General features: G+C 39.3%; 1 protein-coding gene and 1 long non-coding RNA gene across 9 annotated transcripts in view; one reads left to right on the top strand and one right to left on the bottom strand.

Annotated features, from left to right (window-relative positions):
* Positions 1-25888, top strand: part of ZMAT4 (zinc finger matrin-type 4) — a 367237-nt gene that overhangs the window by 251713 nt on the left and 89636 nt on the right. For 5 of the 7 annotated variants that reach the window (XM_017013836.3, XM_047422236.1, XM_024447275.2 and 2 more), the window contains one exon: positions 2760-4771. The exons of the other annotated variants lie outside the window; for them this stretch is intronic. In XM_017013836.3, coding sequence (XP_016869325.1) covers positions 2760-2905 — 146 coding nt within the window. In that variant the 3' untranslated portion in view covers positions 2906-4771. Of the gene's footprint in view, positions 1-2759; positions 4772-25888 lie in introns of those variants that run through there. 7 annotated transcript variants of the gene reach the window in all.
* On the bottom strand, positions 2825-17238 carry LOC107986938 (uncharacterized). Of its 2 annotated transcripts, none has more exons than XR_007060896.1 (3): positions 13385-17238; positions 11015-11091; positions 2825-2937 (listed from the first exon to the last, which is right to left on the bottom strand). It is a non-coding gene; the product is annotated as an uncharacterized LOC107986938 (long non-coding RNA). The 2 variants fall into 2 exon arrangements; XR_001745882.2 differs by lacking the exon at positions 2825-2937 and adding an exon at positions 3354-3408.

Genomic DNA, 25888 nt, shown 5'->3' with positions numbered 1-25888 from the left:
ACACAACAAAACCAGTCCTCACTGATTTCTATATATTAATGGTTTATAATATATATTAGGACCTATATATTAGTAGTTTATAATGGAGACACTTCTTTGTGTGAAATTATTACAAAGGAGATGCTTATCTATTATGGTGTGAATAACTCACAATAAGGAGATTATGATTCTAGTGGTAAATAAGTGTATTATCTGTGTATCACTTTGTTGTATTATTGTTACATTGCTATATACATTATATATACATATTACTGTATATGGTTATATACATACAACTGTGAATACTATACTTTATGGATGATTTAAGTTTATTCAAAGATAATTTTGGTTTTAATGCATTTGTATCTCATATGAAAATTGCACCTGCCATGAATTATCACTCAGTTGTATTTAGCTCACCTCTCTGTATGAATCTCAGCCAGTGTTGGAGATGTTACATCCAAACTTGAAGCATTTCAGTTATATCTCAATCAGGCATTTCCTTGAATACTTTCATCCTAAGGTGCTCCAGTTTTTAGGCTAAGAATTCTTTTCCCCAGGCAACAATATGGCTGGACATAAAGTTTCTCTTCTATAGATATTTTCTTCTCCATTTTTACAAATGTTTATTCAAATAAAGACCATCACTGCAATGGACCTATATTTTCTGTGTGTTCTATTTAGTTTTATATATTCTTCTCTCTAATCCATCAAACAAAACTTCCTTAAACACAATATTGATTATGTCATGGTTTTTCCTAAAACCTTAATTCTGCCCTCAAATACTGCTTGCTTAGTAAAGTTAGGTTCTTTCTTATCTCAATAACTTAAAATTTTCATTCCTATCCATGTCTTATTTATCTTCTAAATAAACATTTTATTTTAGAATAGTTTTAGATTTACTGAAACATGGTGAAGATAGCACAGTTTTTATATATGCCACAACCAGCTTCTCCTGTTATTAACATCTCACATTTGTCACAATTAATGAGAGAATATTTTACATTATTATTAACTAAAGTCCATAGTTTATTCAGATTTCCTTAATTTTTACTGAGTGTCCTTTTTCTGTTTCAGGATCCCATATAGAATACTATATTAAATTTATTCATCACCTATTTTTAGACTCCTCCTCTTGGCTGTGACAGTTTCATAGGCTTTCCTTGTTGTTGGCGATTTAATAGTTTTGAAAGCACTGGTCAGATATTTTGGAGAATGCTCCTCGACTGGAATTTTCCTGATGTTTCTCTCAGGATTAGACTGGGATATGTGTTTTTGAGAGAAAGACCACAGAGGGAAAGTCCCATTTTCATCACATCATATCAAGTGTGCATACTATTACCATGATTTATTGCTGCTGATGTTGACTTTGGTCACCTGGCTGTTGATCATCTTGGTCACTCTTAGTCATCCTGTACTCTTTGGAAGGAATTCATTATGCACACCCCAGCCTTAAGGAGTGGGGAGTTATATTTCACCTCCTTGAGGGTGGAGTATCTACATAAATTATTCAAAATAATTCTGCATGTGAGGTTTATCTATCCTCTTTGTTTATTCAGTCATTTATATTTGAATAAACTCATGGATATATTTATTTTATAGTTTATACTATAATCTAATTCTACTGTGATTATTTTATTGTTCAAATTGCTCTAGATTTTGCTATTGGGAACTCTTTTTGTTGGCTCCCATGTGCCTTTGATATACTCAAATCACTGTGTGTGTGGGTGTGTGTGGTTTTTTCTGTACTTCCTTATTTTCCAGCACAACAAGATGCTCAAGGCTCATTTTGTAAATTTCCTGCCTCAGTCCTAGAAATAACCATTTCTGAAAGGAGTTCCAGTCCTTTTTTTCTGGAGAATGATATTAGAAACCAACATTTGGGTGCTAGGTTGCTTGCTTAGGTTAAATGATTTTCTCTTTTTTATTCCATCTAATCAAATTCTTTCCCTTCAAATATTTTTTTAAAATGGCATCTATACCTTTAAGCTTATCCATTTCTCTACTATAAGCTTAGAGTGTCCTAAATGGTTTCCCTCTTCAACCTATTTTCTACTTGGCAACTATAGAGATTTTTATAAAATACAAATCTCATTATGCCATTACCCTGGTTTAAAAACCTTCATAATCTCAGTATTGTCCTCAGGAGAAAGTTTAAACTTAATATTGCTGGAAATGTTTTTGGGATCTGGTTTCTGGTTTCTATTTTCCTCTCCAGCTTCACCTCTTAAAAATTATCAACCTTGGTTTAAACTGCATCCTTACTAAAATTATTTTCATTTCTTATGAGCCTTTGCATAGTTTTTTTTTCCTGGAACACTGACCTTACTCCTTTTTTTTTTTTTGCACACACACAAACACACAGACGCACACTCTTCACTTTGTAGATTTCTACTCAATTTTCAACTTTTTGCTTAAATGGGCATCTTTTGGGGAGTTTTCTATAGAATGCTTCCAGGCTGGGCTCGCTTCCTCTCTCCACCGGGCTCTGTACAACTGTAGCACTCATCGCAATGGGCAGTAATTATCATTTTACTGTCTCTTCCCTCTGGACGGAGTTTGTGATGGCAGAGACCTTGTATCTTTGTTTCATCATTGTATGATTAACATTTAGCACAATATCTGTCACTTGATATGCGCTAAAGAAGTATTTATTTAGTGACTCAATAAATTATCCATGGGATATTCCCCACCATGCTAGCTTCAGGATGTACTGGTCACTGACATATTTCTAAAGAAATATGGTTTTCCAAGTGTCAAATATGTATTTATTTTTGTAGGCAAAGCATGCTTCAGTATGAGACATCTCCTCCACAATGGAAAGATGAGAACAGTTACTGAAGATCATCTGTGGTTACTCATAGTTAGGCATAGTTCCCGGCTTTCTTTGTTCTTCATTGCCACCGTGGAAACAAAAGGCAGATGAAAGCTTCTCGACTGCTTGGGATCAGTTCTTATCTAGTGTGTGGGCACAGACATGTGCTTGGTTAAACACACTGGGAAGGCAGCCATGGAGAAATGTACAGGAATTCTAAAGCTGCGAAGGAATTTACACCTGCACCTCATAGCTCAGAATAGAACATGGCCTCCATGGTATCTTCAAATTCCAAAACTTCTCCAGTTTCATCCCAAGAGTTATACACTCATGAAGAATCTGACACAGGAACAAGTAGATAAGGTTTGACTTTGCCTCCTCATACCCTTTTTTTACTCAGAGAAAACTTTGGTATCTTTTAAATATCTTCCCTAGGGAAACTGGGACAGTCATTTTGGTCTCATGAAATATGGCTTATATGTGAGGTTTCCAGAGCTGCTAGAATGGAAATGATCTCTGCTCCTTCTGAGCATATGCACGGCAGTGCTCCTCCTCTAAATCTGGTAGTATATTGTACACATTCCCTCCAATCCTCTTGACTTAGCTCACATATCCTGGGGATGGAGAAATGGAGAGAATATTAATAGCCCTCCTCTAGCAGATAGCTTTTCTAGGGAAGAGGCTAAACTTGCCACAACTTTGCCAGGTTGTTCTTATGAAGGAAGAACATACCTGTGTATTAGGTTTGAAAACAATCTTTACCTTGGTACTAGATAGAGTTAATGATATATTGTCTTAAAGGGATGACCCTATTTGACCCAGTGAGAAAACTGGGACAGCCAAATGGTCTGAAGTATTTGGCTTCTCTAGTCTCCTGATAGCCACATTGACTGTGTATGTGTGATGTCCCTCTCAGCCACAATGATTAGGAAGACTAAATGTTTAATTATTTTTCCTACTCTTTGCCCTTGATAACCTAGCATAACTTTTGTTGGATACCCTATATTATTGAATGTTCACCCGCTAGAACAGTGCGCCATTTGGTGCAGGTATGAATTTTTTTATGGCCTCTAAGTTTAACAGATAAAGTACCAGATGACTAATTGAATTTGAATTTCAGATAACAACTCTTTTAACCTGCGTACAATAAGTATGCAGGTATTTGGGACATACTTATACTAAAAATCTGTTTGTTATTTATCCAAAATTCAAATTTAATTGAGCATCCTGTATTTTTATTTGGTAAATTTGACAACCTTAATGACCTGCCAACTTTTTCAGGTTTAAATATCTTTAAAAGTTTAAATTTCAATCAAATAAAGAGTATAAGGCCATTTTAGAGAGAGGAAATGAGTTCACTTTATTTTTATTTATTTTATTATTATCATTATTTTAGACGGATTCTCGCTTTGTTGCCCAGGCTGCTTGTTCATGATCCCAACATTTGTAAAGTCATTTAAAAAAAGAATAACTGAAACCTTATATCCTTTGACTAATAAATCCTAGAGATCTAATAGGCAGAGTGCCTAAACTTAAAAATACTGTATTGTATACTTAAAAATACTGTATTGTATACTTAAAAATTTGCTAAGAAGGCAGATCTTATGTTAAGTGCTTTTATCACAATTAAAATAATAAGAATAAAAAAAGAGGGCAGAGGAAACACAGAGGTGATGAATGGGTAAGAGCACAGATTGTGATGATGGTTTCAAAGGTGTACATTTATCTCCAAATGCATCAAGTTGTGTACATGAAATATTTATAGCTTTTAGTATGCCAATCCTACTTCAATACAGTAGCTTAAAAAATAAAAGAATAAAATCACTAAAACACTGTTTTTTAGAATAATTCTTTTCTGTACAAATTCTTGAGATGTTTAAAGTGTGCAAAAAAATCTGAGCTTTTCTTTCATTCCCATTTGTCTAACAAGATTTGGAAAGTCACCTAACCAAAATAAATGTAAATGTTTTTTCCACATAAAGTTTGACTTTTTTTTCCATTATATTGTGACATCAAAGCCTCAGCCATCTTCTCTTTTCTTTTAAAAGGCTTTTAGCGGTAATTTTGCTCATTTAGCAATGTGCCCAGTTAGCACCTTTGCTACACTTTTATCCACAGATAGATTATTTTATCTGCTGCCTTGACACAGATCTCTAGAGATATTGGACATATTTGACACATATTTACAAAATAATTCTTACTGTGATTAAGCTAGCTTTAGTCATTCTTTTAACTGTTTAGGAAATTTGGTTTGTAAAGTTGATGAATTCTTATGCAAGTCCTGTGAACCCTGTTCTATTGTAGTTGCTGCTGCTGTATAGTCTATCTTTTTTTTTTCTTTTTTCTTTCTTTTTTTTTTTTTGAGATGGAGTCTCCCCCATCAACCAGGCTGGAGTGCAGTGGTGCAATCTCGGCCCACTGCAACTTCCACCTTGCAGGTTCAAGCAATTCTCCTTCCTCAGCCTCCCAAGTAGCTGGGACTACAGGAATGCACCACCATGCCCGCTAATTTTTGTATTTTTAGTAGAGATGGAGTTTCACCATGTTGGCTAGGCTGCTCTTGAACTCCTGACCTCAGGTGATCCACCACCTCGACCTCCCAAAGTGCTGGGATTACAGGCATGAGCCACCATGCCTGGCCTCTATACTTTTTTTTTAAGTAAAGGGAGCTAAGTTGACAAAAACCTTTTTTTCTTTTTTCTGGAACTATCCCAAGATCTTCCCAGAACTTTCCAGAACTATCAAGGCAAGTTTCTGATACATCTTTAAAATTACTTGGCAAACCAAACCTAGATATCAAAAAATGTTTTTTGTTAGTCTGTTCATTAGCAGACACTGCTTGTGCTGCATTTGTGATGAGAACAATGCAGAGAGGTGACCTGTGGAATCATGAGAGTGCCTCTGTGCAATCAAGATGGAGCCACTGGCAACTGTGCCTTTTCAAGTATCACTAAATAAATGGACCTATTGGATTCTGCTGAGCTACCATTCTAGCCTTCACATCCTCTGCAAAGTCATCCAGAACATTAAGACAGATATAAGGGGCTAGTTCTGTGGTTCACACCTGTAATCTCAACATTTTAGGAGGCTGAGGCAGGAGGATTGCTTGGGCCCAGGAATTCAAGACCAGCCTGGACAGCTTAGGGAGACTTCATCTCTACAAAAAACAAGAAAACTTAGTCAGGCTTGGTGATGCACACCTGTAGTCCAAGCTATCCAGGAGGCTGAGGTGGGAGGATTACTTGAACCCAGGGGTTTGAGGCTACAGTGAACTATGATCTCACCACTGCACAGGGTGACAGAGTGAGACCTATGTCTCAAAAAAATACATACATACATAAATACATACATAAAAGTTTAAAAAAGAAAGATGGATATAATAGAATGAGAGAGGACCAGACAAGGGAGTTATTTGGGTTAGTTTTTTTACCCTTTTTAAAAAGTTATCTCCACACTTTGTGTTCTCTCCTAGATCTTTCCACTGTATAATAATGTACAATAGAATATATACAAAGAATGTGTGTGTGTGTGTGTGTGTGTGTGTGTGTAACAAAAGGACTTAATTTTGTTAGTTTGAGACATGTATTCACCCTTAAAGATATGAGGGTTAGAGCCAGCAGGCAGGAACTCAGATACAGGTTCTCTGTAACTTCATTGTGCGTGTTCTTGAGTGTGTGTGTGTGTGTGTGTGTGTTCTTGCCTTCTGTCACCCACTTTCCCTTCTGCCCCCTTTATTTTTTGTAGAAAAGTTATTTTGGAAAAATCCAACTTTACTTTGACCCCAAGAAAAATGAGATTTTTGTCTTTCTATTCTAACTTTATGAAGAATTGTTAGGAAAATATCCTTCATGGCCAAGAGTCGTAGTAATTCCAAAGCTCAAGACTCTCCACTAGGCTGGAGCGCTAGGTAGCTGGAGATCCCGATGTTGGCTAAGGGTCTCGGAGTCTACCTGGGCACATCAGCCCCAGCCAGGCTTTGCCATTTCACAGACCATCTCCAATCTCATTCAAAAACCCCTGGGAAACTTTACTGGAGCACAGTCTTTATATCCCCAATTTTCATAACTAGATTAAAAATTGTGCAAAGCAGTGATAGATAAGAAATTTAAAAAGCTAAAAAAAACCAGCAAAGCTGAATGCAAGAATTCCTTCTGAAGAGTGGCCGGTCCATGTTTCTCCAGGCTCCTGTCTGCAGCATATGTCCCTCCCATTGCCAGGTCAGCCCAAGAAGCAGCAGAGTCAGACACCTGGCCATGGACCTGGCCGAAGGTTGGCTGGAGGGGCATCCTGCAGTCCGCCAGCACAGAGGGTAGTATGGGAGTGCAGCAAGGCTACTGTGACTAAGAACACTTATTCCATAATGGTATCATCATTTAACAGTTATGTATTAGACTGATTGCAACTATCGTAAACTCACAAAAGCTTTTCTGTTGACTTAATATTTATAATGTGCATTCTCTTCATTATCCTTTTTTATTCCCCATACTTATTACCTTGTACATTTACACAGGATTCTCTATTTAAAAGAAATCCAAATAGTGGATATAATCATTGCAGAGCCTCTGGTTTGTGTTCCATTTTCTCCATAGGATCAGAAACTTTTTCTGAGGCCTTCACATGCAGGCACAGCCTGACAGATGTAAAATTGAGAAGTGGGTGAAATTTGACTTTCATGAATGCACTTGTTTCCTCTGATTCCTTTTCCAGCCTCAGAGTCACTCTTGTGGTACTTGTCTTCTTGGTTGCCATTGATTCTCTGAACACTGTTCCTTATAACAAACACAGATAGTCTCAGAGTCTGATAAATGGGTGCTTTATTGTAGAAGAGACTCAGTGGATTTCCTCTCCTAGCAGAGGTGGCTTTTAACCCTTACTTGAACTGTGGAATGAAAGACTCTATCTCTCATTAAATGAGTATAAATTAAAGACAAATGTAAGATGTGTCTATTGTTTTAACTTTATCTTTAATTGACAAATCATAATTGCATATATTTTGGAGTACAAGGTGATGTTTTGATACATGCACCCATTGTGGAATGATCAAATCAGGCCAATTAGCATATCTATTACCTCACATATTTATCATTTCCTTGGGGTGGGAACATTCAAAATCTACTCTTTTCACCATTTTGAAATATACAATACATGATTATTAACTATAGTCACTATATTGTACAATAGATCACGAGAACCTCTTCCTCCTCTCTAACTGAAATGGTGTACCCTTTGACCAACGTCTCCTCTTTATCCATTTACTGATCTTGCTTCGACCTCTGATAACCACGATTCTACTCTCTTTTGCTATGAATTCAACTATTTGAGATTCCACATATGAGTGACATCATGTGGCATTTGTCTCCCTGTGTCTGGCCTAGTTCACTTTGCATAATGTTCTCTAGATTCATCCATGTTGTTGAAAATGACCATTTTTCTTTCTTTTGAAAGACTAAATAGTATTCCATTTTGTAGGTTGGCATAAAAGTCTTCCCAATACCTCTTAAAATATAGCACGTGCTATATACTATTGTACTCACTAGCCTCCTAGGGATCAGTGCTTAGTAGCAAGGTGGGTCCAGGAAGGACAGCTCCACCTGAGTCACGTGTGTGGTTTTCCCAGGTGTTCTTAAATGCAGTCATTTGTCCAAGTTGTCATCATGGTCTGAATTGCCTTAGTGCCTCTTTCTATTCTGTAGCTTCTATTGCAGCAAAAGACCCACCTAGTAACTATTTTAATATGGCATTGGGGAATTTATGTTTCTAAAATTAATCTAATTGAATCCCCTTAATCTCCCTCTCTCTCTTTCTGGGGAGACAAGGAGTGGTAGGTGCACAACTTGAAGGAATTACCTATTAATGCCTTGGTTGAAGTCACTTTGTCCAGACCTGGGTTGATTCAGAGACTTGACTTTAGAAATCCCACATTTGCTGGGATGTCAGCCTCTTCAAGTTTGAGTCAGCCTCACTGTCAATAATTCTGATTTGGTGCTCAGCAATTCCCATGTTAACTGTTGACTTTTATTGTGTTTCTAAAATTGCTTCCATTCTGAGAATGATTTGAAAATAATTTTATGTTATTTTATTTTGATTGTATTACTGTGGCATTCCCTCGGACCACTTCTCTAACGTTTGCAATTTGACTGAGAAATGTGGTTTCAAGACAGAGAAGACATTTCAGGACTTCTGTGTGCCCACATGGGAATGGGAATCACAGAGTTTTTTTTTTTTTAAAATCTATTTCATTATTTTTTATATTTAGGACTCAGACTCTCATCTTCTTTTTGGAACTTTTCAAGGTGATTATTTTTTCCCAGGAACTACACCTTCAAGTCTCAGCTAAAGAAGCAATTACTTTTTAAAGATACCTAGTTTTGCATTCGGCAGCTCTCAGATCAGAAATAGGTATTGTGACTCCCTCTGGAGGGAGGTGTTCTTTAAAAAGATAAAAAGTTTTCATTTTAAAAGTTGGCAATTGTGTCTCATGAATTTGGTGGAATTAAAATTGATCCTGGGGCCCCAGTCCCTCATTAAAGATTAAAGATTCCTCAATGCTCCAAATGTTCCCCATTAGGCTGCTACTTGATCGTCTAAGACAAACTCTTCCCTGCAGAGGATCCATTGTCAGTGGTTTCTCTTTGGTACTCAAAGCTCCACCTTTTAATTACAAGCTCTCCTAGGCTCTGTCAGTGGTGATTGTCACCCTGTTTCTCTCCTCTGATAGCCCCTGAGGCTCTAGCAGCACAGCACATTATCCTCCTTTTCTAAGTTGTTATTTGTTTTCCTGAAAGAATAATGGAAGCAGCTGTAGAAATGTGGAGGCATTTGAAGCTGACCTTCTGAACACCAAAAAAACTCCACTGTAAAGGCTATGTTGATTGGGTTTGTCAGAATAAATTGAGCACTGGCTAAAAAACATGATGGATATGTGCACAACTTGAGGCAACTCTTTGGCTCAATGTCAGAGATGTGGATTTTTCCAAACTGAAAGCTTTTGTGCGCCATACTTCAACCCCTACTGCTCAGCGAAGTCAGTTTTTCAATTGCAGTCCATTTTGTGAGTGCAAGCCAGTTTCTCAAGATGAAAAGGGCTGCACACTGTGTGTGTGTATGTATATGTGTATGTGTGCTTACGCAATCTCACATTTCTAAGACATTTTCTCACGTCCACTGAATTAAAAAGCAATTGAATATTGAGAGGCATGTATGAATCATTGCAGGCTCTTTGGGGGAATATCTTGAATTTTGATTGCTAGACTTGTTCACAGTTCTGCACAACACACCTTACAACAGTCGGATAGGAAACTTACTCAAACGTCTCTAACCTTGAAATGAATCTGAGCCACTGCTACTTTTTCTTGAAGGTGGTAATAGAGGCCCCCAAACTGTTCCAGAACTCAGAAATCTTTTCCTCTCTCCAACTTTTATTAATTAGGTTACAGTTTGACTTTTAAAAGCTGTCCTTTTAAAATGTTGCCTTTCAGATCACATCCACAAAGACCATGTCTATTAGTCATTTACCCTACAATAGCAAATATTTTTTAGGGGCCTTTTCATGGCTGTGACACCAAAGTTAAAGACAAGATCATTGCGGATGTAGAGTAATTTTTCAGAGGTGCAGAATTAATAAATTAAAAAGCAGCAATTCAAACCTCGGACTTCTATGTTTAAGTCTGGTGCTCTGTCTGAGACATTGCCACCACGCCCTCACTGAGAAATACTTAAAATACATATTTATTGTACCTCTAATACCAGGGAATAGAAGTCTTGATTACTTGCATCAGAGGTTGGGCATCTTGGAACAGAAGTATGCCTGAGGTTGGGACTGAAATGTGTGTGAGAGTGTATCTGCGTATGGTGGGGTCGGGGTGCTCTTTGCAAAGATGCAAGTGACAGCACTTTGAGGTGTGAGTGTATGTCTGTGTGTGGTGGGGTGTTCTTAAGAGGCAACAGGGGATTGTTAGGGAGAGAATGAGAGGCAGAGAGGCAGATAAAAGGTAACAAGGACATAATTTCCCCTAGTTATCCTACCCACTCGTATTAAGGCCCCTAGCGGAAGCAATGACTAAGACTCACTGAAAATCATTCCCTAAGCCATCTTTTATATTTCGATGCCTTGGCTAAGTGATCCTCTCAGAAATCACACAAATGAAATTGCTTTGTACAGGTTTGGGAGACAAAACCTGGAACACTGTTGTTTACCAGATTTTTTTGGAATTCAGTTACCTGTACTGTAGTTGAACAGTGTACTCATAGATCCCCAGGAAATTGCTGTCTTTGCCTTTAAAAAGATCTCTCATCACCTAAATGGGGAGACAGAATGGAGACATATAATTGGATTCCAGAAATATTGCTACAAAACCCCTATAAATATGTACAAATTAATATACTGCAAATGAAGTGCAAGGTGCTGAAGGCATGTGTGTAATGGCCTCATCAGAGTCTGCAGGAAGCTAGATTGCAAAATAAATCACGCATCAGTATCTTTTCTGTAACTGTATGGATGGCTCCATTCTTTAGACGCTTTTATACACAAGCGAGTTGTATGAGATTATTGGCGTTTGCTTGTTTTTTTGTAAAGTGATAAGGTATCATCAGTGCAAAGAAGGTAATTGGTCTTAAGATCACCATGGTAAATGATTCCTCAAGAAAGGAAACCTCTACCAGCAAACAGCGCGCATTCCCTGCCCAGCTCCTTGCATATAGACTTAAAACTTCTGGAGCCTCTTAATTACATGTAGGATAACTGCTTGATGCATGACATTATTGCTTTGGCTTACATTTAAATTTCTGGGTGAAATAAAGGATGTGGAAATAATCTTTCTGTGGGATTGGTGTTATAGGAGTGTTCTGTGTTGTAAAAAATGATTTTTTAGAGTTGAGTGCAAATAGAAAATATTTCTCTCTAGCTCTTTTATGGGGACAAACTGAAGTAATAAAAGCCTCAGATTCACTTACATCATGCTTAGATACACAGAGGAATCAGGTTCTTTGTCTAGACTTACAAGGTCTTTTTCAGGAACCTCTACCTACTTGTGGACCAGGAAGAAATTAACTTCATTCAGTCCAGTGCTGTTTAAAGCTCCGTTGTGTCTGATGTTTAAACAATCTTTTAGAGAATTCTCCATCTCCCAGATATTTGCCAATTTGCCCATACCTTTTGTTTTGCTCCTCTCCATAACTTTTTTTTAAGATAATGTTTTTGCCCCTTTACTTTTCATTCATTTCTACCTTCCCAACCACTTCTTCAAAAATGTGCTTGGGTGCATGTGGACAGCAGTGGTTCATGTGACCTCAGGGTCCAGGGGAGGTCCTTGGACTCAGTGTGTCCTTCATCACTGCTGACTTCCCAGGAGATGTCACTCAGCTGCCTGGTTGCTATTTCCTGGTGGCATTTGGAGTTGTCGCTGAGGTAACTCATAGCTAAGCTGCTTTCCGAAAACGGGCAGAGCTTCATGGTGCTCCTGGCTTACATGGACTCACGTCTGCCCCTGCAGATGTAGTGGACATCTTGAGACTCTGCCTGTGACAACTATTTATCCTTGCCTGATGAGCTGTCCTAAAGCTATTCCTATAGAATCATCTCATTCCCACTTAGCCAGTCCCCTTTGAGAAGCTCCCAGTCAGACTCAAACATGCTTCTGGTCCTTCTCTACACTATTAGGGAAGCTTGAAAAAGCTCAACCTCATGGCTTGCTCACACTAGCCTCACATTACCTTGATGTTGTTACATTCCAGGTTGGTGCAGGGTAGCTCTGAGATGGCCATGGAGCGAGGACAGACCTTTTATGTGCTACCCTCACTAACTGTACTTCTGCCCAAATATCTCCCCATCTTCTGGTCACCCCTTGTCCCTCAATACTTCACACTGCCGAGGGTCCCAGTGGTTAAATACCTGTTTTCCCTACATCATATCCTCTCTCTGCCATCACATCGCATGTGTCACTTTCCCACTTAATGGGTTTCCCACTTATCGGGGACAGAAGAGGTGTTTCTGCCCTGGGAGAACTCTATGAGTTGAATTGCTCAGGCTTGGTTTTTGGTCAGCTCAAAAGTGTAGATTTGAGGGATGAATGTGGGGTTAATAACAGGAAAAACAAAGGGATTTTGAAAAATTTACATTCTAGACAACAGCTGAGCTCCCATGGCTATAGCATTACTGTACAATTAGGTCTTGAAAGTCAAAAAATTAATGTTAATTTTTTCTTCGCATTTCTTCTGTAATGAATTGTAATCTTCTCGTCATCCAAACCTACCCTCCCAGCCCTGGAAGATTCTTGGGACAAGGAGGATGAAAACCATCCACAGAAAGGCAAAAGAGGACAAGTCCATGACAGTGAGTCCTTGCTGTATCTGGGACATTGAACAAGCTCAATAAGTAGTAATCTTCCTCTCCTTTAACTGAAATTAAAATGAAATCTAACCCACAACACCACTACATCACATCTGTGTACATGTGAGAAATACAGAAAGGAGAATCACAGTTTTGATGAGTTATGGTGGTGAGGTTTCACATGGTTGCATTCTTTTGCTAAGGTTGCCATAACAAACTGCCACAGCTGCGTAGCTTAAAACAAAAGAAATTGATTATCTCACAGTTTGTAGGGCAGACTTCAGAAATCCAGGTGTTGGCAGGGCTGTGCTCCCTCTGCAGGCTCTAGAGACTCATCCTTCCTTGCTTCTCCTGGCTTTCCTTGGCTCACAGCTACAAAACTCCAATCTGTGCTCAGCTTTACAGGGCCTTCTTCTCTTTGTCTCAGTCTTTCATAAACACGTTAATCTTTGGATTTAGGGCCCACCCTCCTCCAGGATGATCTCACCTCAAGATCCCTACTTTAATTACATCTGAGGTCCTGAAAGGACATATCCTCTGGGAGTCCCTATTTAACCCACAACAGGGGCATATGTTCTCTTTCACTATTTTCTTATTTTTGAGATAGCATTGTTTTGCACATTACCAACTAGTAATAAGGAGGGGAGAAAATGGCATGGCTTTCCAAAAAAAAATCTATAAAACTATTTTGCTAGGATTATTCCCCTTTTTAAAAACATTTTCTTGCCCTTTGCTCCTGAAAAAGTTCTATGTGCCTGGCCTTGTTTTTATGGAAATCCTTGCATCTAAAAACAAGCTGTGTAAAACTGGCATTCCAGACTTCAGGCACCAAATACTTCACCCCAGGAATTCTCAGCCCAGTCTGTTCAACCACTAGACAGCTATAAATAGAATCACAAACATTTTTGGCTCTGTTTCACCAGTTGGACCAGGCAGGAAAGGCTCCCTGTGGTTGTTTCACTTGGAAAAAAAACCTGGATTTGAGCAGAAACCTAGCTCCAGAGAAAGAAATCACTTAGCTCTTATGCATAGGCACAAGATGTCTGCAGGGCAATATTGACTTGAGAGGTTTCGTCTGAGTATTTGAAGTGGGAGGATTCATCTTGAACTGAAAAATGGATTGCCATATCTCAGGGTAAGATTCCAGCTTAGTCTTGTGTTCAGACACCTTTTACAGCATAGCTCTCCTACCAGAAATCAGGTTTCCCATCCAATGGCTTAAGAGCGTAAAACTCTCTCTAAATGCCTAACTCCATTTCTCTTTCTCAATTTCCTGTTTTGCAAAATGAGAGTGGATATCACATGGTACCATTATGTTGCTTCTGTGTCAAAAAGTATTAAAGAATGTGATTTAACTTCTATCTCCCCCATCTCCTGATCCCTCTATTAAAACATGGAACAATAGGCAGGAACAGGCCAGAACAGGGAACTGCATATATCTCGCATTAGAACTGAGTAGAATTTAACAAGTTGCTCAGCTTTTCTAAGCCTTAGTGTCTACTCTGTAAAATAATGGCATCAAAGTAGATAATTCTGGCCTGGTGCGGTGGCTCACGTTTGTAATCCCAGCACCTTGGGAGGCCGAGGTGGGTGGATCACCTGAGGTCAGGAGTTTGAGACCAGCCTGGCCAACATGGTGAAATTCCATCTCTACTAAAAATACAAAAATTAGCTGGATGTGGTAATTTGCACCTGTAGTCCCAACTACTCGGGAGGCTGAGGCAAGAGAATTGCAGAGGTTGCAGTGAGCCGAAATCTCGCCTCAGCACTCCAGCCTGGGCGAGAGAGTGAGACTCTGTCAAATAAACAAACAAACAAACAAAAAAATAAAGTAGATCATGCCTATAAGCCTTCCCACCTCCCACCTCTCATATTCCATTACAGTGTGGTCTAATATGATAGCCAAGAGCCACATGTTGCTATTGAGCACTTGAAATGTGGCTAGTCTGAATGAAAAGAAACCGTAAGTGTAAAGGACACACCAGATTTTCAACACTTGCCATGAAAAAAAAATGTGCATTTCTAATTAATATTTTCATATTGATTACATGTTGAAGTGATAGTATCTGGATGCATTAGGTAAAACATATTACTAAAATTAATTTTACTTATTTTGTTTTACTTTTGACTATGGCATCTAGAAAATTTAAAATTACACATGTGGCTCTTATTTTGTTTCTGTTGTCCAGTACCACCCTATAATGGCTACGCAATACACTTTAGAAACTAAAGTCCAAATGTGCAGAGTTACATAGAGTGCTCATATGTCATGTATGCATAAATTCGTGCACATGTATGCATTAACTGTGACTGGGGTTTTAGCGATGCTGTTGTAATATGGTACAGCTTACAGTATCTTTTCGTTTGTGTACATATGATACATATACCACTTGTATTCCCATTTTCCCACCAGTCAACCACTGCCAAATACTTCCCACTTCCTAGGATTGAACACAAGACTAATCGTCAGCATGATGATGTCCATGCTTAAATTCTAAGTTCCCCACGGTTTGGTTGTGTGAGTTTAGGAAAGTAAAGCGACCTCTTTGACCCTCAGTTTCGTCATTTATGAAGTGGAACTGATAGCAGCTATCTTCCACATAGGATATATATGAGGTCTAGAGAAGATAATCCACTAAACGCACCAATTCTAAGCCTGCTGGGAAATGTGTTTCCAATGAAGGTGAGTTATTGTTTTCTAACTGTGGACACGTCTATAGGCAGGAGAGACATTTGAAGTATACAAATAAAAGTACTGTGGATTTCTTATACCAGTTAACACATACTTCTGTTTAAAGAAGAAAAGAAAACTTGCAGAAGATGGAATTTGGTCCAAACAAGAGAGAATTTGGATAAATACTGTTGAGGGTTGGACATTTCAGGTAGAGGAACTAGCATAAGTAATATAGAACCTGCCCTGTGGAGCAGAAAATTACTGAATAGGGATTGAAAGTAAGTTTTCTGAGGGGAGATAGAATTAAAATTGAAAAGGAACCATTGTGAAAGTCAGTGTGGCGATTCCTCAGGGATCTACAACTAGAAATACCATTTGACCCAGCCATCCCATTACTGGATATATACCTAAAGGATTATAAATCATGCTGCTATAAAGACACATGCACACGTATGTTTATAGCGGCACTACTCACAATAGCAAAGACTTGGAACCAACCTAAATGTCCAACAACGATAGACTGGATTAAGAAAATGTGGCACATATACACCATGGAATACTATGCAGCCATAAAAAATGATGAGTTCATGTCCTTTGTAGGGACATGGATGAAACTAGAAACCATCATTCTCAGCAAACTATCTCAAGGACAAAAAACCAAACACCGCATGTTCTCACTCATAGGTGGGAACTGAACAATGAGAACACTTGGACACAGGAAGAGGAACATCACACACCGGGGCCTGTTGTGGGGTGGGGGGAGGGGCGAGGGATAGCATTAGGAGATATACGTAATGCTAAATGACGAGTTAATGGGTGCAGCACACCAACATGGCACATGTATACATATGTAACAAACCTGCATGTTGTGCACATGTACCCTAAAACTTAAAGTATAATAATAATAAAATTAAAAAAAAAACTCCATTGCAGGCAAAGTCAAAAAAAAATTTCCCAATAAGAAAGGCATGGGGAAAAAAACTCAGAAGAAAATGAGAAAATATGTCCAGGGGATGAAAGTAAAAAACAAAGCCTGAAATTAATAACCTCAAAATAAAACAATATCTTTTATGAAATAAAAATCCAGATGCACTAAAAATGGACAAATCAATTTTTTACTCACTAAATACATGTAAGGGACTATCTTAAAATGCAGAAATAAAAGAGGCTGATGGAAATAAAAGAAGGGAAAAAATAAGATAGAGGTCGAATCATGGAAGTATAACATTAAGTAAACTATTAGGAGTCCCAAAAAGAAAATAAAGAGGGCGAAGGGATGAACAAAGAATAAAGACATTAAAAAAAAAAAAAGAAAAGAAAGCTCGAGGGCAGGATTTTCCCAAGCAAACATTAAATATATCTACATGTGATGTTTCATAGAAACGCAATCTTCATTTCCATTGTATGGTGTCTCTTTACATCTATGTAGTTAGATTCTAATAGAAGTGATTCTGTATAGTAGAGATCTATGTTGGCATTTTTCTCTAGTGGATACTTCTTATTTTCATCCTGTCTAAGCCTAAAAGGACCCAGAAGTGATGTTGGAAGTAAAAATCCTTCTACTTTATGCCATTTCAGAATTTCCATCTCTCTGCTCCAAGTTAGTAATCATGTCCTTAGAGGATGATGCCATCCAGCTACCAACCTTTACACCATCTTGTCAACCCCTCCACCAATTCCTCCTTCCCTCCTTTCCACACAAAATTTCACACCTCGACCACAGCTTTCTACACTTACAAGTTTCTTAATTCCATAATAGCCATTCTCCATGTGGTCTTATAATAAAATGGATGGGAGGGCCGAGGCTTCCTATTTTCATTGTGTTATTAGCAGTATGACCTTGGATAATTTATTTAACTTCTCTGAGCCTAGAATAGAGATAATCATAACACACACTTCATAAGGTTATTACGAAGACAAAATGAAAGAATGTATATTAAATGCTTAACGCGATGCTTGGTGCACAGTAAGTCTTCCAAAATATTATTCAGTGTTAACAATCTTTTTAGTCCTTTGATCCATATATTACCGTCTTAACGCTTTCCTGTCTTCATCTCATTTCTTATTTAGCCTAGACATCAATATGTCTCTCTATCTTCAATAAATCTCTTCTTTGTACCCTTGGGTCTCCAGCCCTCTTGAGTTTATACCCTCTCAGGCAGACTTTAACTGTGAGGCATGCTATGATCGAGATGTTGAGACTCCAATGGAGAAAATCTTGATAAGTTAACAAAATCCTCCCTTAACTCTTAAATTAGACTCTAGCTCTTCTGTGTGTCCCTACAGAACACTTTTTTCCTCTTCTCTGTGAGCAGACATTTCAAAGCTTGTTTGAAGTCTCTTTCTAACTCCACCACATTCCCTTGCAGCAGGTGGCCTCCCCTCTCACTACAGAGACAAAATCATGATCTTCAAGCCTTAAATCCCTCAGGCTCCTGCCTTCACAGCTATGGACTTATCTTTCCCTCCCGCCCCATCCCCTCAAAGGATTCTCTAAGAAATAGGGCTATATCAGTTGGAAAGCCTTATTAATATACCTATTTGTTGAACATAGGGAATGTTCATTGCTATGTAAGAAAAAAAGATACTTCTCTCAATGGATTTAAAATCTGAATAAGCAAGCTGAAATAACTCAAATATGAAAAACCATCTAGAAAGTATTTAAATCTCACAGGCATAAGATGTTTTAATTGTATTCCCTGCTTATACATGGTTGAAAAATTTTAAATGGTAGAAAAATTATAATTCAAATCATAGGTTGAATTATGATATTGTTAATAAATGTTATTGAATATTTTAGGAATACATATATTTTCTTCATCCACAAAGACAGTAAAACAGTAAATATTTTCTCTGTGTGTGTATATTTATATATATGCACATGAACACATATATGTATATACACGTTTGTGTGTATGTGTGTGTTTGTGTGTATGTGTCTGTTTGTGTGTGTGTACTTATCTTTTGCTTAAGCATTAGATTCTCATGCCTGGCTACGCTACAGATATATTTGGTTCTAAAATGTTCCAGTTATATAATGTGATGATACATTCTTAGTGTGCTTAGTGCCCTTGAAAATCTCAGCCTCTCTAATAGAACATTCCACAGCAACATTCTTAGCCTGAATACAAATCTCAGATTTTCAAGGACAAACTGACTTCAAATATCCCAACCTACTAGTTGACTGAATATTGATTGGTTCAATAATCATTTGCTGAGTATCTGCTAGGCCAGGCACAGTTCAGGGAGGGAATGAGCAAAGGTAGATGATGGCCATGCAATTTTACAAACAGAATTATCAGGGAGACCCATAAAGGGCGTGGATCATTCAGAGCAGGGTTATTAGGAGAAGCTTTAGAGTCATATGTCCTAAATTTGGGTTTGGATATTTAGTTCATCAAATGTATAATCCCATAGCTTCCCATTCTCTCCTTCTTTTACCCAAACTCCAAACTCAGTAAACTGTAGCTTCTCTGTGTGCAGCTGTCAATGGCCACCTCCAGCCCCCCTCCCCAGCTCCATCATAACTGGTGCCTGTCCATCCAACATCTCACATTAGCAATCCCAGTGTTGCTTTGCCTTCTCTAAAGATCCATGGACATTTTTATTTGGTCACAGAGGCCTGACTTCACACCAGCAGGATAAAGATCTAGTCTGTTTCTCAATGTTATGGCTACAGGGGGATATCACAAAAAGATTCCTAACTAACCAACATTGCTAAGTCCCCAGACATCGTGCGTGTTTGCTGACCATGGCATGGAGGCAGGTGAGACAGGTCCAGAATCTGGGGCTGGCAGTTAGCAGCCTAGAGTCTGCCCTGGGCCCTAACACAGAAGAGTTTTATATGTTCAGGAATTTTTCCTTTATTGGTTTCTTCCTTTAAGCATGAGGTCTAAAGTCTCTTCTAGTGCTGCTGTTTCTAGAGAGTGGAACCATGAATTCCTATGTTGTCAGAACCCTCATCTTACTAAGCTAGAAACACTCTTATTTCCTATTGGTTTCTGAGATGCCACACTTAGCTGGTTTTCTCCTCACTAGCTGCACTTCCGGGGCACCTTGGCAGCTCCTCTTTCGTACTTGATTCCAGGGAAGGAAGTGCCTCAGGGATTTCTCCTTAGTCATCTGCTCTTTTCTTTGTATACATCTCCCTCATGCTCTTATTTACCCCCCAAGACTTCCAATCCAGTCTTTTTTTTTTTTTTTTTTCTGAGGCAGAGTTTTGCTCTTGTTGCCCAGGCTGGAGTGCAATGGCGCAATCTCAGCTCACTGCAACCTCCACCTCCCGGGTTCAAACGATTCTCCTGCCTCAGCCTCCCGAGTAGCTGGGATTACAAGCATGTGCCACCACACCAGGCTGATTTTGTATTTTTAGTAGAGATGGGTTTCTCCATGTTGGCCAGGCTGATCTCAAACTCCCGACCTCAGGTGATCCACCTGCCTTGGCCTCCCAAAGTGCTGGGATTACAGGCATGATTCCACCGCGCCCAGCCCCCCAGTCTGGTCTTTATGCAGATGACTAACAAATTTACTCACCTGGCTCCAACCTCTCCCTTAAATGCTTGACTGAGGTACCCACCTCCTTGCTCTACATCTGTGCCTGGTGTCTACTAAATATCTCAGCCTTAACTTTCTCAGAGTCAGTGATCTCCTCCCCATCTCTCCCAGCCCTGCCTCCCACCTTGTTGCTGTAAATGGTACCACATCCGCACAATTACTTTTGCCCAAAGCTGTGTAAGTGATGATCAGTTCCTTTCTTTCCCTCTAATGTCACGTTTAGTCTATAAACCCAGTATTCTCTGCTCCCAAATAGACCCACAATTTGGCCATTTTTCACCACTTCTATCGCAACCACCCTAAGCCCCTTCAACCTTCTCCCTGACTGTGGCCACAGCCTCCTAAATATTCTTCCTCTCCTGCCTGACAGAGTCATATTTCTAAAGCATAAATTAGATGATCACATGCCTCTACTCAAATATCTCCAGTGGCTTCCCATTATAACTGGAATAGAATTGGAACCGGTTCTTAGGGTGTGTAAGACTCACACTATCTAGCTCCTTCCTGCCTCCCTGTCCCTCACTGCCTTCCCTCCGTTCTTCCTCTCATTTTTTAAGTTCCAGCTGCTGATTTTCTTGCTGTCCTCTGGATGCATCAAGCTGTTCTCTTTCAGAGCCTTGGGATTTGTTAGTCTCAGTGCTTGGCATTTTCTTCCCCGGGCCTTCATATGGCTACCACCCGCTCATTGTTCAGGTTGCAACTCAAATGTCGCTTTTTCAGAGAGCCTTCTCAACACTCTGGATAAGGAGCACTGCCCCCTCCTTTTACCACATCACCTTAATTCCACTTCTTCATAGTCCTTAGCATTATTTGAAATTATCCAGTATTTTGACATGTTTTATGTCTGGCACCACCCATCACATGCTAAGCTCCTTGGGGCATGAACTCTGTCCATTGTCTTTAAGGCAGCATTCTCAGTGGCTGGATCAGTGCCTGGCTGTGGGAAGTGCAGAGTACGTATTTGTTGACTGACTGACTGAAAACTAGGCTTGACCAGCTCTTTTTGCTTTACCTCTTCAGCAACTGTGTAGAATATTGAAGTTTTCCAGTTAAGAGGGAATCCTTTAGTCCTAGGCAGGAAGAGGATATGTACTGAGATCTGGGAAGAATTTAGAAACACTTTGAAATATAGTCATGACTAAGCATCCAACAAAATATTCCTTTATTTAACAAATATTTCTTAAAGATTAAAGATGTGTCAGACACTATAGGCTGGAGCAACAAGGCAAACAAATTATTGTTTCCATCCTTAAGGAGCTAATAATTTGGAAAGGAAGGTGGACATTATCTTAGTTTGGGCTGCTGTAGCAAAATACATAGACTGAGTAGCTTAAACAACTGATCTTTATTTTCTGACGGTCCTGGAGGCTGGAATTCCAAAGATCAGCATGCCATCAGGGTCTGGTTCTGGTGAGAGTTCTCATCCTAGTTGCAGACCACTGCCCTCTCGCTGACCCTCACATGATCTTTCCTCAGTGTGTGTGCAGAGAGAGTGAGAGAGAAATCTCTTTTTGTCATCTTATAGGGCCACCATTTCTATCCGATTGAAGCTCTACCCTTGCGATCTCACTTGACCTTAATTACCTCCTAAAGACTATCTCCAAATATAGTTGCATTAGCATTGGGGTTTAGGGCTTCAACATATGAATTTTGGGGGCACATAATCCAGTCCATAGCAGACACATACACATACCCTTGCAATTCACCAGCAGAGGAAATTGCAGAATACTAGAAGCACAGGCAAGAAAAACAGTATGACCTGGAATTAGTAGGCCCAGGCACTCCTCCACAGGTATAGACCAGTGAAGCAAGCCAAGAAAATTGATGTTTCTCATAAGCTTCAAATGCCTGTAGGATCCAGGGACAAAGGGCCACTAGTCACAGAAAGTGTCTTCTGCTAGAATAAGGCAATTCAGCACTGTATTGGCTTAAATGGGGCTGATGGACACTCTGCTATTTCTGTGGAGAAGGAAGGGATCCTTTATTTCATCTTAGGCTTATGTAGCCTTTCAGGGGCCCTGTGGTTTCTAGGATAACTTTGTCTCTCATGCCCTGTGTGACAGATTTCCAACAACCAAGAGAACTCTCACCCTCTGGTTGTTGCTGGAACGTTTGATTCAGTTTCTTGTACACATGGTCATTTCTGATAGTCATAGGCAAGACAGACTTGGAGGTTCACAGGCTAGAGATCACCACTTCTTCCAGCAAGGCTAAGCAGGCCCAACTAAGGTGAAATTGCAAAATGTGTCTTCTCACTTCTTGGCTTCTCTTGTGAGTAACTTGGATATCAGTAAAACTGAATATAGCTACCATAGTTCTGCTGGGCATTTGCTAGTATTTTCTCATGCATTCTCTCTTTTCAATCTTCACACTTACCCTGCAAGGAAAATATTATTCTTGTTTTCCAGAATCAAAGGAGAATGCTTACAGTGTTTGCCTAGAGTAGGCTCCAGAATCTGCATTCTGTGCCATATTCTACACCACATCATCCTAGTGCCTGCCATGAAGCCAGGAACTCGGATGACCATGTTATTCTCTAGCTGGGCTTCTTCTGTTACATCTAGTGACTTTCCCTCTGCCCTCTTAGCATCCACGCTGCCATTTTTCCATCTTCATTTTGCTCAGTGCTTTGCACTGTCCTTATTATTCCTCCAATAAGACAGAAGCCTTCTTAATGTCTTGAATACTTTTTCTTGTCTTGGTGTCCCCAGTACTTAATACAGACTCTGACATGGAGGAAAGAGGTGATAAAGCTTTGCCAAATGAAGTGTAACTACTATCTAACCTTTTGGACTCACAACACTTGAGTTGGCCTTAAATTCCTGATATACTTTGGATATTTGTCCCTCCAAATCTCATGTTGAAATTTGATCCCCAGTGTTGGAGGTTGGACCTGGTGGGAGGTGTTTGGGTCATGGGGGTGGATCCCTCATGAATGACATGTACTCTCTTCATGGTAATGAGTAAGGTCTTGCTCTTGTTAGTTCCAGTGAGAATTGATTCTTAAAAAGAGCCTGGCATCTTGCTGTCACCATGTGACACACCAGCTCCCCTTCCTCTTCCGCCATGAGTGGAAGCTTCCTGAGGCCTCACCAGGAGCAGATGCTGATGCCATGGTTCTTGCACAGCCTGCAGAATGATGAGCCAAATAAACCTCTTTTCTTTATAAACTACCTAGCCTCAGGTATTCCTTGATAGCAGTGCAAACAAACAAAGATAATCCCCTCTTTAGCAAATGAAACATAAAACCCAGAAAAGGGAAGAGATTTGTGCAACTTCACCCAGTTGGTAACATGGTTTAGGGCAGAGCTAATTCTGCCAGTGTTCTTTTTTCTCCGTAACTCTGTGTTATGCCAGGTTCTTGGAAATACAAAACCCTGGCCTCAGAGGGGCCTCCCCTTAAGTGTTGGAGAAGGCAGGCATTTGGGGCAAGGGTCTTTTCCTGTATCATTAAGTCACAAGCCACCCACACATATTCAAGCTCTCTACTGTTCTCTTTGGGCAGATACAAGTAAAGTATAAACCCCAAATATCTGGAATAAGCTATTTTGTTTATCTTATAATTTAAACATATGAAACATAAGCCATAGTAATTGGTTAGTGAAAAGAATTACCAGGTCATTTTTCAATTAAAAATACCCTTGTACTTTCCGTTGTGCTTTCATGTATTGGGAATGTGTGATGTAAACATGTAAAATACTTGGAATTGACTATTACTATTAAGCATATAATAAATGTTCTTATAGTGAATTGAAATGGAATGCCTATTTTTACTAAAACTAAGTGAAAGACTCAATATTGATAGTGCCTTTTTAATAAATTCCATCACCCCATAACTGCTGTTAGTTCTGCCACAACTGAAATAGGAAAACCATAGGTGGGTAAGCTTTTTCTAAATGTGATTTAACTTGCCTTGAACAATTCATAGATGGTATCAAAGAACCACTAGAATATTAAATCTTAGACCCTGAGTGGCTCTCACAGATCTGGTCCAAGTCATTCATTTCACAAAGAGAAAAATCCAAAGAGGAAATGTGCAATATTTTCCTGATTCCCCACTCCATTTCCCAGCGACCTTCAAAGCCAAAAATTGTGATACTAAGCATGCCCAAGGCAGGGTCTCAGGAGTCAGTGCCGTTAGCTTAATGATATCAAATCATGTCAGTATTGTTACTTGTTCCTTCAACTCTAACCTTGCGCTTGAAATTCCCAGCCTTGCCTGCTCCCACATTTCTACCATCTCTCAGCTTTGCCCTGCCCTTATTATCTGTTCCAATTTCAGAACCCCTGGATCTTTGCAAATTATCAGCTGCTCAGACATGATCATTTTGGGCTCATTAGCACCAGCTGATGGAACTGTATCCTACTCTCAGTCATTTCCTCCAGATTTGAGTACTAGTTGGGGATTGTCTTCAGACTCTTGCATCTGTAGTCATCCCTCAGTGGTCTAAGTTCTGGTCTCACCTAAGTATTTCAACATCTTCCCATCTGCCCACCTGGTGAGTTTTCCTGGACAGGTGGCCCTGTTGTGTGCTGGCCTGTTTCACTTGCATCAGCACTGTGTCTGGCACTAAGTAACTTTCCCGAGATGATCCACTCCCTCGCTGGTAGGGCTGAGATTTTAACTACAGTGTTCTGCCTCCACTGAGCCCATGTTCTTCATGGTACTCACTCTTGTTAGGCTAGAAGGGCAGAGACCAGAAATAGTGGATGCCACTTCTCTAATAAAGCAACTCAAGCCTCAATTTTGTGGAACAGAAATGTTGCTAATATTAGAATATAAATAAGTCCATCAAGACTTTACTAGTTTCCTAAGATGCATTGGAAATGAATAAGCAGTAGGGGATATATAATCAAATGCTTCTGCTGAAAAATAAATGTAAAGCACAGACTTGAAAGGAGCTTGAGCCACAACAAGGCTTGCCTGAGAATGCCACTAAAATATAAACAGATCTTCATCAACATTTTTGAGCCAGTTCTCAGAGAGGTTGTGTTAAGCACTGTAACTGCAGAATTACAACCTACCAGGGCCATTTGTTATGGAATTTCTCAAGTAGCAGCAATAGGAAACCAAATGACCTGATCAAGAGCTTAATAATAACATTTGTAAAACAAGTGATGGGAGTGAGGAATTGTTAATTGGATAATTTCTGTCATAATAACATATGACGAATTTTTACATCGAGAGCATCTCAAAATCTGACAATGGTCTCTCTTCCCTTTGAACAAAATATTTGGTTTGCTATTAAATGGGATTCCTCAGGAATGATCCTCAGCTACAAAAATGTTCTTTTACAGAGGAATAAAAGTAATATTAATCAGGTTAACAGATCACTAGCTCTGGGGAAAAATGATCTCACTGTGTCCTTATCCTGTGGCCTGAGGTCACTAGCCCTGCCGCGCTTTGGGGAAGGATGGAAGAAAGCGTCTTCTGACATTTCCCACATCAACCTTTGCTCCAGCATCAACTCTCTGTTGTTCTAAATGCCCATACTTTTATTTCTCACATTATAGTTAGCCTCTGTTGTGATTCTTCAGG

Source organism: Homo sapiens, chromosome 8 (genome assembly GCF_000001405.40).
Source record: "Homo sapiens chromosome 8, GRCh38.p14 Primary Assembly".
Lineage (NCBI taxonomy): Eukaryota > Metazoa > Chordata > Mammalia > Primates > Hominidae > Homo > Homo sapiens.
The sequence above is the reverse complement of the archived record's forward strand: the minus strand, read 5'-3'. Positions and strand labels throughout refer to the sequence as shown.